The 12,314-nt window shown below is 36.1% G+C and overlaps 1 protein-coding gene across 1 annotated transcript in view; it reads right to left on the bottom strand.

The window, feature by feature from the left end:
- Positions 1-8,375: 8,375 nt before the first annotated feature.
- SAMTOR (S-adenosylmethionine sensor upstream of mTORC1) overlaps positions 8,376-12,314 on the bottom strand; it is a 120,729-nt gene continuing 116,790 nt past the window's right edge. Inside the window, exon 5 of the mRNA NM_152556.3 lies at positions 8,376-11,602. Within this exon, the coding sequence (NP_689769.2) occupies positions 10,973-11,602 (630 nt within the window). The 3' untranslated portion in view covers positions 8,376-10,972. The remainder of the gene's footprint in view (positions 11,603-12,314) is intronic.

The raw sequence follows: 12,314 nt of genomic DNA on the forward strand, positions 1-12,314 counted from the left end.
AAATGTTACTTTTTCTGTTGCTCCTGTTGTAATTTTTTAGGCTGTTGTCATGTCAAAAGGGGATACTAAGTTTCCAATCTGTTCTTGAGTATACAGTAATGCGGTCAATAACTTTAGTTGGTGCCTCCAACAAGTATTATCCGTGGATGAGGTTACATCTGGGTACTTTGGAATATGATAGAAGCAACATCTGGTGTGCTTTTATACAGCTCATGAAGTCAGTGCTTTAGAAACTGAATTAAAATGTTTCAAGGGTTTTCTTCCTATTTAATGCTGTGATGTTGCTAATCCCGTCCTCCTCTTAAAGCTGGTGATCCTCCTCACATTAACGGCCATTGATATAGTTTGGATAATTGTCCTCACTCAAATCTCATGTTGAAATGTAATCCTCAGTGTTAGAGGTGGGGCCTTGTGGGAGGTGTTTGGGTTATGGGAGTGGATTCCTCATGGCTTGGTGCCTTCCTCTGGGTAGCGAGTTCATTTTCACGAGATCTGGTTGTTCAAAGTGCATGGCACCTCCCCTACTCTCCCTTGCTCCTGCCTTCAGCATGTGAAGTGCCTGCTCCTGCTTTGCCTTCTGCCACAAGTAAAAGCTTCCTGAGGCCTCTCCAGAAGCAGATGCCAGCACTATGCTTCCTGTACAGCCTGCAGAAGCATGAGCCAATTAAACCTCTTTTCTTATAAATTACCCAGTCTTGAGTATAGCAATGCAAGAGTGGCCTAACACAGCCATCCTTGATATTTATGGAACCCTCTCAGGCTTAATAGTTGACTCAAGCACAATGAATAAGTGGTCCCCTGTCTTTGTGAATTCATAGATAAAAAGACAAGACAATCTTGTGTTGTGACTTGTTTTGTAGTTTCCATTGAAATCTTGTAGGGTAGGTTGTAGTGAAGTGTGTATCTTACATCATTTTCTGGGAATTCATAGGGAAGAAAAATTGAAGATAAGAAAATTTAACACTGATTTTCTTGCTCAATATGGTTCTAAGGAGTTGATATCAGATTTTGAATTGGGTGGTGATGGTGGAGATGAAACAGTGAATGTGTGCAGACCAGGCAAGACTGAATGAAGAGAAGGAATGGGGCTATAAAAGACACTTTGCCAAAATAAATAATAGTCACTATATGTCATATCCCTACTATGTGACAAGATTGTTATCTGCTTTATAGACATCATTTTCAAACCTATCGATAACCTTGCAAAGTGAATTTTTTGGATAAACAGGCCCTGAGGAGAACTTTGCCCCAGTAAGTTTTCATAGGGTTGGTGATGCAAATCTTTCTGGATACAAAAGCCAGTGGAAAGTAGTACAAATCACGTATCCCTTATACGAATAAAGAAACTGCTGGAGTACCACTTCTCTCCTGGGGTTGAAGAGATCATTTAGGTAAATACTCCTTTTAAAGATGTAAAAGCTAATGATGGTTTACAAACTTAAATTCTTACACTAGCAAGGAGTGGGAGCTGGCCATTGGAGAGAGAGTACTGACGGACGTGGTAAGAAAGTAGGATTTCAGGTTTAGATATAATTCATTTTAATGAATGTGTGGGAATACACAGAAGAGAAATTATATGGCTCCAGGTTACTTAGTATTGATCTAAGCTTCAGTTTATACAAACCAATTTAGACTTTCCTGAAGTATAAATTGAGTTATATCTTAATTATGAGAACATATTAATAAACTAATTAATATAAACAGGACTAGACTACCCCAAAAGATTCATAAACTAAGCAGCAGCAGTGGCCCTGTATCATCACAGTTGCATTTTGGAAGGTAAAATTAACCATTTGGAAATATGTATTCCATCACCTTCTTTATGCAAGGTACTTATTTAGGCTGAAGACACAGGACAGAAAAGGGCTTTGCCCATATATACAGATGAACATGGACAAAGATAAACTTCAGATAATTAGAGCTATGCAGAGACTTTATGGTATTGTGAAGAGACAATTTTCGATTATGTGTAATAGGAAGGTGTCCCAGAGGATGTGGCATTTAAGCAGAGATTTGAATAACAAAAACAAACTAGCCATGGAAATAAAATGTAGGAGGAAGAAATTCTAGGCAGAGGGAGTAGCTAGTGCAAAGGTGGTCACATGATGTGTGTGGGTGTGTGTGTTTCCCCCTAGGACTCTAACACAGAAGGTGAAGGAGAGAATGGTGGGAAGTTGCATTGGAGAGGTACGGAGGGGCTGCATCATTTACATTTGGCCCCTTTATGATAAGGGGTATCCATATTAAAGTAAATTGCCTCTAGATGGGTTAAGAACAGTGTGTCATAAAAGTCAAGTGAACAGGTTTCATTTATATGTACCACCAGATGCTGCAGTGCAAGAATGTTTTCTGTAATGTTTGTTTTTATTTTTTGCCTTGTATTAATGCTAGTGTATTTAAGTTTCCACTGTCAGCCCCTGAAGAGCAGAGCAGACATCTGCTCCTTCTAGTACCTAATCCAGTGCCATAGCACAGAAATTCTCAACTAGTGAATCAATATTGATTGGTGTAGACTAGTTAACTATGTTATTGCCACAAATGACATCTAACCTGAGCTAGTTATCCCACAAATAGTCCTCACAGTTATGAAAAGGGAACCACAGTGTGTGATGTTCCCCTTCCTGTGTCCATGTGTCCATGTGTTCTCATTGTTCAATTCCCACCTATGAGTGAGAATATGTGGTGTTTGGTTTTTTGTCCTTTCAATAGTTTGCTGAGAATGATGGTTTCCAGCTTCATCCATGTCCCTACAAAGGACATGAACTCATCATTTTTTATGGCTGCATAGCATTCCATGGTGTATATGTGCCACATTTTCTTAATCCAGTCTATCATTGTTGGACATTTGGGTTGGTTCCAAGTCTTTGCTATTGTGAATAGTGCCGCAATAAACATACGTGTGCATGTGTCTTTATAGCAGCATGTTTTATAATCCTTTGGGTATATACCCAGTAATGGGATGGCTGGGTCAAATGGTATTTCTAGTTCTAGATCCCTGAGGAATCGCCACACTGTCTTCCACAATGGTTGAACTAGTTTACAGTCCCACCAACGGTGTAAAATTGTTCCTATTTCTCCACATCCTCTCCAGCACCTGTTGTTTCCTGACTTTTTAATGATCACCATTCTAACTGGTATGAGATGGTATCTCATTGTGGTTTTGATTTGCATTTCTCTGATGGCCAGTGATGATGAGCATTTTCTCATGTGTCTTTTGGCTGCATAAATGTCTTCTTTTGAGAAGTGTCTGTTCATATCCTTCGCCCACTTTTTGATGGGGTTGTTTTTTTCTTGTAAATTTGTTTGAGTTCTTTGTAGATTCTGGATATTATCCCTTTGTCAGATGAGTATATTGCAAAAATTTTCTCCCATTCTGTAGGTAGTCTGTTCACTCTGATGGTAGTTTCTTTTGCTGTGCAGAAGCTCTTTAGTTTAATTAGATCCCATTTGTCAATTTTGGCTTTTGTTGCCATTGCTTTTGGTATTTTAGACATGAAGTCCTTGCCTATGTCCTAAATGGTATTGCCTAGGTTTTCTTCTAGAGTTTTTATGGTTTTAGGTCTAACATTTAAATCTTTAATCCATCTTGAATTAATTTTTGTATAAGGTGTAAGGAAGGGATCCAGTTTCAGCTTTCCACATATGGCTAGCCAGTTTTCCCAGCACCATTTATTAAATAGGGAATCCTTTCCCCATTTCTTGTCTTTGTCAGGTTTGTCAAAGATCAGATAGTTGTAGATATGTGGCATTATTTCTGAGGGCTCTGTTCTGTTCCATTAGTCTATATCTCTGTTTTTGTACCAGTACCATGCTGTTTTGGTTACTGTAGCCTTGTAGTATAGTTTGAAGTCAGGTAGCATGATGCCTCCAGCCTTGTTCTTTTGGCTTAGGATTGACTTGGCAATGTGGGCTCTTTTTTGGTTCCATATGAACTTTAAAGTAGCTTTTTCCAATTCTGTGAAGAAAGTCATTGGTAGCTTGACGGGGATGGCATCAAATCTATAAATTACCTTGGGCAGTATGGCCATTTTCACAATATTGATTCTTCCTACCCATGAGCATGGAATGTTCTTCCATTTGTTTGTATCTTTTATTTCATTGAGCAGTGGTTTGTAGCTCTCCTTGAAGAGGTCCTTCACATCCCTTGTAAGTTGGATTCCTAGGTATTTTATTCTCTTTGAAGCAATTGTGAATGGGAGTTCACTCATGATTTGGCTGTTTGTCTGTTATTGGTGTATAAGAATGCTTGTGATTTTGCACATTGATTTTGTATCCTGAGACTTTGCTGAAGTTGTTTATCAGCTTAAGGAGATTTTGGGCTGAGACAATGGGGTTTTCTAGATATACAATCATGTCATCTGCAAACAGGGACAATTTGACTTCCTCTTTTCCTAAGTGAATACCCTTTCTTTCTCCTGCCTGATTGCCCCGGTCAGAACTTCCAACACTATGTTGAATAGGAGTGGTGAGAGAGGGTATCCGTGTCTTGTGCCAGTTTTCAAAGGGAATGCTTCCAGTTTTTGCCCATTCAGTATGATATTGGCTGTGGGTTTGTCATAAATAGCTCTTATTATTTTGAGATACATCCCATCAGAAGGGATAGCATTAGTAGATATACCTAATGTTAAATGACGAGTTAATGCATGCAGCACACCAACATGGCACATGTATATATATGTAACAAACCTGCACGTTGTGCACATGTACCCTAAAACTTAAGGTATAATAATAATAATAATAAAAAGAAAATAATAAATAAAAAGGGAACCACAAGGCCTACTAGATCAGTGAAAATTCATTTACTCAAGACAACTCCAAGTACATAATGTCTTAGGTAATACTCTATATAAAGTGGTTTGTCACAAGAGCTGTGCTTGCTTTCTTTTGAATTTTATGCTTCACATTCTGTGGGAAAATGTATTACACAGTATCTCACAGAAGTATTACTATTAACCTATATTTACTTATAATACTATCTTCTATAGCGTGATGTTAAAATTTGATAAATTTTAGGGAGGAAAATGTTTGTCTTTCTTTTTTTCTCAGACAAGCTCTTAGTCTGTTGCCCAGGCTGGAGTCCGTTGGTCTAATCTTGGCTCACTGCAACCTCCGCCTCCCAGGCTCAGATGATCTTTGTGCCTCAGCCTCCCGAGTAGCGAGGACTACAAGTGCATGCCACTGCGCCTGGCTGATTTTTAAAATTTTTGTGTACAGATGATGTCTCACTATATTGCCAGGCTGGTCTTGAGCTCCTGGGCTCAAGCGATCCGCCTACCTTGGCATCTCAAAGTGCTGGGATTACAGGTGTGAGCTACCACACCCAGCCTGTTCATTTTATTATAAATAATTTGTTGGAACTTTCTCAGTTATAGAATTGATGTTAGCAGTTCATTTAACCGTAAGACTAAAGGGATGGTTTGTGACATCCTGACTCCCATTCTGTATCTCTTCATTCCAACTGGCACCATTCCCTAGGCCCACAGGGTCTTCCCCACTGCCCTCCCCTCCCCCCACCTGCCCTCACCTTTTCTGGTCACAAGCTCCAGACCATTCCACTTTCCTATCAAAATATGTCTTCTTACTTCCAAATTCCCAAGTCCCTGTTCTACTTCCAACACACTGTACTCCAGTACTTTAATCCGTGGTAATGATTCAGTGGAGCCAGAGAATATAAAGCTCATTATACAGTTAGTTAAGCTGTTAGGCCCTCTTTCTGTCTTAAGCATCTTTCTTCTTGCAGACAGTCTCAAAGATTTTTCCTTCTTCCAGTAATCACCCATTTATTTCCAAGGAATGTTTCATCCATGCCTAGCTTTAGGAAACATGTTATTGCTTGGATTTCTATTGAAAATATGTGTGGCAATTTGGAAACCATTTTTTCCTGACTTCATTATTCTTTCATGTTTTAGCCTGTCAATGCAAACTCTATTATCCAGAGATGCATTATAGAACAGGAGTTTAAGGGAGAAGGAAATTAATATTGGCCATGGTCATGTTCGTATTCTTTTTCCTTGTAGAAGACAACAGGCATAGCTAGAGTGGCATTAGCTAACTGTAAAAAGGATTTGTAGGGCTAGGGATGAATGTAAATGTAAACAACTTAAATGTGGATTCTATTATAGCTTCACATAGAGTATCTGTGACCACAAATCATATTCTTCTCAGTAGCTGATTTCCCACACCAGTTCAAAGGGCTACAGAAGAAATACTGTCATCAGGACACTACGAATAGTTTACTTGGATATATGCAATAAAAGGATGCAAGTATATTTTCTCGCATTTTCTTCCTAAAGAGTTGCAAACAGGGCTGGATCTAGAAAATACTGTTTCCTTTTTTTGGGGTAATGCTCCCTGCCATTTTTATGGTTTACATGGGCATTCCAATCCATCAATAGATTTGTTTTACAGCTTTCAAATTATTAATGACAAATTCAAGAAACAATTCTGCAGTCAATGCCTATGGTCTAATTTTTTGTAGTTTTCCTTTAACTTAAAAACCATAGAAAGAAGTACCATCTTTGATACTACTGATGGGCCCAAACTTAAAAATTTATGATGCAAAATAGTTTTAGCTATCATTTATGATTACTAAAAACAACCATTGACAATAAATATTTTATACTATCACAAAAAGCAGACTAGCTTTCTCATAACTTAGCAAAGGTGTTATGGTTGAAAATAAAATTCAAAATAAGTTGAACTGCTTAACTCATAATTACTAAAAGTTCATACTCTATAGTGCCATATGTAACAAGATTCTCATTTAAAAAAATAGATGCATACTAATTTAGAAACTACTGAGATGGTTATTTTCCTTTTTTGAGACCTAGCTGTCACCCAGGCTGGAGTGCAGTGGTGTGATCTCAGCTCACTGCAACCTCCGCCTTCCAGGTTCGTGCGATTCTTGTGCCTCAGCTTCCTGAGTAGCTGGGATTACAGTCACATGCTGCCATGCCTGGCTACGTTTTGTATTTTTAGTAGACATGGAGTTTCATCATGTTGGCTAAGCTGATCTCGAACTCTTGACCTCAAGCAATCCACCCACCTCGGCCTCCCAAACTGTTGGGATTACAGGCATGAGCCACCCAGAAAACTACTGAGATTCTGAAACAAATTTAGAAAAAAGCATACAAACCAAAGTTTAAGGTACATTTAAAAGGCTTTCCAATTGTTGAGATTTCCATTTCTCTGCCAAGAGAAAAACAGGGTTTAGAAAAACCAGCGTATCTCCTTTTACGCATTTAGAGATCTTTAAATTGTTAGCTATTGTAGCCTGCTTGTTCACTGGGTTTTGTAGTGTGTATATATATAGGCCACCACTAATATACTTCGGGAGCTTTGCATTCACAGTAGCTCATGGATATGACTTTAACATGAATTATCATACTATCATGGTTATGGCAATTCAGTTTTTTTTAAGAATAAAGTTATTATAATACAAACATTCCTTGTAGTAAATGTTTGTATTATGGGTTTTTTTTTTTTTTTTGTAACAAAGAATTTGTTTTCTACCTTTGTTATCATTTAACAAGCAATTTACAAAACCAAGAAGGAACCAAATCTTTGATTTACATTTCTGCTGACCTAGTGTGTGGACTCTTGCAGAGGAATAGCATTGCTGCATAGTGCTCAGAAAGTGTGGGAAAACGGAACAAAAAGCTTGAATCCATTTTTTTTTCTGCTTTTACATCAGAATTTATATTTAGGTTATACTTTCCTAGAGGAATGAACAATACATCTCTCTTATCCACAATGTGTAATTTGCTAGTTTTGTGTTTAAAGCTTTTCTTATTTCCTGTTCTACTTCTGTGAATTAAGGATTTTAAGCAGGGGCAAAACTGTAGCATCAGCAGGTAATCATTCTTGGATACAGATACTAAGTACATGTAGCATGCTTGTCTTCACTCTTAGGTCATAAGCTCCATGAGAGCAGGGGACAATGATCACTCCAATCCTTGCTGCTTTCCCAGCATATAGCACATGGCAGAATTCAAACATTTGTTTAATAAACAACAACAACAAAAAACCTTTCATATCATGAGGAAGACATCTGCTGTCCTGAAAGAGCTGATAAATTATGTAGCTTACTTAAAAAAAAAAAAAGAATATGATATGGTTGACATACAATAAAGTAGAATTTATGCTGTTGCCCTGCTTCTGCCATAAACATGACAAAACATGACAATGGGAAGTCACCTGAGTTCTCTGGATCTCAGTGAATAAATTTATGACATTAAGGGATTTAACAAAAATGAAACCCAGTGGGAAAATTGTACAAGTCACTCAAGTTCTAAATTGCTTCCCAATGCTGAAATCACTTAGTGAGATACATCAAAGACCACAGAACTTTCGGTTTACAAGTAACAGACAAAGAATACTAGAAAATTTAAAATTTTTAATAAATGTGCTTTGTTCACAAAATGTGAAAAAATACAACAAACACACACGTACATTTTCAGGTATGCTACCTCCCACCACTTGGCAACTATGGTAAAACCACATGATCTAGTCATGATACTGAAGAATCCAACCAAATGATTACCATTTGTTTTTGAAACAACCAAATTATTTTGGAGAACCAGCTGTGAATGTGACAGGAGGCCTCATAACTTCTTTATATCCAAAATGAAATAATTCTTAGGAGTACCCATACAGTATTAGAAGGCCCTATTAACTTCCACTTGTTATTACATACATGATCTGGCATCAAGCTGCAATGACTGCTTATACTTCAATACTTATACACTGAATTGGTTTTTGTGGAATGTGTATCAGTTTAAATCTGTGCCAACCTAATTGGAATAAGCTGAATTTACAGTAACAAATGATATAAATTCAAACAAATTTATACTAAGTGGTAGTAGGTTTTATAAAGAGACTTCCTCAGAGTACTACGTAAAATACATCATGCACACTTTGGAGCATAAGCAGAATCAACATCTGTAAACAATCAGAATTTATAGCACCAACATTTTCGCTGTAACACAAAGGCTGACTCCAGGGTCATACTATACCAGCCTTTCAAAAGCGCTGTTTTCATTTACTTTCAAAGCATTTTCATTTGGTGTATTGTTTTCTTTGCTCTTAAGATATTTACCCAAATCAAAAAGCAAACAGTATGGTAAAAGGTACTACCAAAATAGTTCAAAAGAGTTCTGTATTATCCTTAACATAGTGCTTTTTTTTCCTTCCCCTTCTCTTGGGGAAGCTACAAGACATAATCCTTCAGTGCTTAACTGGAAAGAACAGTCAATCCTAAATATTAAAGAATCTTATGCTGTTGAAAGTAAATGAAAAATTTCGAGTTATTTGTGGCATATTTGAGCAACCAATATTTATTGCATTTAATCAACTGACTTTAAAAAATTACAATCTTGTTACTTTCATTAATTTAGCATGTGAAATTTAATTAGAAATACTGGGTACATACACTCAACCATTTATATCATAAAGGATAAGTTTTATATTTCTAAATAAAGTTTGACATTCAAAGGTACTACGGCAATTCACAATAAGCACAAAAACATCAGCTTTACCAGAGTAAAGAAGTGCAGTTTATGAAATTTAGGATCAACTATTGAAAATGCAAGTTTCCTTTAAAAACATACAAACATACGCACAACATTAACCATGAAATCTGAAACTGTGATATTTCAGTGCAAAAACCTCAGTATGAGGTAATTTTAATGTAATAACCACTTGAAAAAAAAATCCACACAGTGGCACTCTTAAAAATGATAGCTTCCATGACAATTGCTGGCTGACAAGACAATGTGGACTAAATGTTCTTAACTGTTTAAACTAATCTTGTCTTGTTTGGACATATATTTTTCCCTAATCATTTGCTTCTGATTCAGAAACACAGAAAGGCATTTATTAATGTGGAAAGGGAAAATTCCCACAGCCAACTAATTGATATATTCAAAGAAAATTTTCTGATAAAGTTTAGATAGAAATTAAGATACCAAAAGGTCAAAACCATTTTATGAGATCACCAACAGAGGGTTAATTTTAGGTTTTTCCATATAATTTGAAACTTGTAGTGCGGCACCTCCTTAACGGAAAGGTGAGGACCCTATCAAAGTTGGTTTCAACAGAACATAAACTCTCTTCCAAGTGCAAACCCTTTCAAAAAGGTGTTTTAGGTCATTATTGAGTATTACATTGTTCCTTGCTTAAATAAAACATTTTGTAAATGAAGCCTAAGTTTAAGAAAAGTAAAAGTGAACTCTCAGGTAAATATACTTCACACCAAGGCCCAAATCAACAAGAAAGTTATGAAAATACTACTTTGGCAATGGTGTTTATTGGATAGGGCTAATAAAATTAGAATACACACTTTGGGGGACATCTCTCCCCCAATGTCTGATGCTGTCAAATGAGCTTTTAATATAAGGAAGAAATAAAAAGAATTATCACCAATTACAAAAAGTTCAGTAAATATTGGATCATCAGACAAAAAAGGAACATAAAATGACTTTCTGTAACATCACAATTTTAGTTAGAAAAAAGAAAAAGATAAGTGCATCACAAAACAACTAACCGATCTATTTTTCTGTATCACATTTAACTTGTGAGTCATCAAAGTGCAATCTACAGCTTTCTACATCTTAAAGTTTTCCATTCAATGGTTTATAGTCAACACTGAAAAGTTGAAAAGGAAAACATATAGCAAATTATGCTTGTTTTCACAATAGCACTAAAGAGAAAAAGGTACCTTTCTATGATAGTGCTAAATGCTAAAGTAACAGTAGTTTCTGCTATGACATGAGTCACTCTGCATGAAACTTTAAGCTTTCTATATAAGAATAAATTTTAAAATTGAGAAGTAGAAAAAAATAGCAAACTCTGTAAACCTCTGCATTTCTTTTATGCAAACCAGGTTTTCAGTACTGAGTTCATGTTAGTATTTCCAATTGGTGTAAGCAATTAGTTTAGGAGCCTGGACTGAAAGGGGCTTTTTGCTTCTATATTAACTTAAAAGTAATATGGGGTCTTCTAGCTCATAGAAAGGAATAGAGCTGGCTTGACTTTCTCCAGAATCTGAGTCATATGGCGCATCAGGGAGTTCTGTGAAACCATATGCTAGTTGTTCATCTTCTATATCTGATCGAACATAGCAGGAAGGGTTAGAATATTCCTCATCTTCTATACTGTTGAAATCTTGAGGAATATATAACATTCCTGGGTAGTTCCTACTAACCAAGTCACTTGTGGTTTTTAGAGAGATTTTCCTAAATGCCATCAGATGCATATGTGAAAATTTTGAGTACTTGAAGCGTTTAAAGCCCAGGGACTCTATAGCAATCTTCCAGCTTTTCATCATCATAGCATGACGGTTCTGATGGGAGGAATCAGGTGTGATGATTAGTAATAAACCATTTAACACTAACAGTTCATGGGCTTTCTTGCAGCAAATCCATCGCTGGTAAGGAGATGGAAAATAAGAAAGAAGGAGAGAGAAAACAACCACATGGAAAAGCTCTCCAGGAAGAGAATCAATAGGGTTTTTCAGCTGCTTCAAAAAAGCATCTATAGCATCCTGTGCAAGCTGGAGTGGTTGCTGAAGCTGTAAGTTCAGGAAATCACATTTATAGACACTCTGCAGAAACAGAAAACAAGGCATATTAAGAACTTCAAGATTATTTCCACTTTAGTACATAGACTTTTCAGCAAACCATTTCACATATCATAGTAATTCCAGCATTGATTATACATTTTTCCTTTTAAATTATTAAACTTGAACAGATGTATTCAACCACAACTTTTACAAAAATCTCAAAGTAATTAAGTCCAAAGACCTGCTAATCATCATTTAAATATATGTTTTTTGCCTAACAATTTAAAATGGGAAATAATTTGTGTATTTTGGGTTGGGACTTACATGAATTTTAATTTGGGTAGGAGTTTACAGGAATGACATTTCTATTTACATTCACTTTAACATTTACAGTTACCAAAAACAAACTAATATAAAAATGCTAAACAAGAAATACCATGAAATAAAGATGAATCAAATAAAGAGGATAATGAAAGAGGCATTATAAAATTTGTACAAGCAGAATGATTCCAAAACTTTAGTTCTTTGAAACTGTTAACTTTAACCATTTAAAAAGTAACCCTCAACATTACTTTTATTCTATTAAAAAGTTAATCCCTAGTTTGGAACAAACTAGATTTAGTTAGACAAATGACCATGGGAAACAATACAACAGAGGAATGAATAACATTATATAATTTGCTAAATCTTAAAACTATGGAAATGAATCAGAATAAGCAATTTTAAAATTAGACAAAAATAACTCTATCATATA

The sequence above is a fragment of the Homo sapiens genome, chromosome 7 (assembly GCF_000001405.40).
Source record: "Homo sapiens chromosome 7, GRCh38.p14 Primary Assembly".
Lineage (NCBI taxonomy): Eukaryota > Metazoa > Chordata > Mammalia > Primates > Hominidae > Homo > Homo sapiens.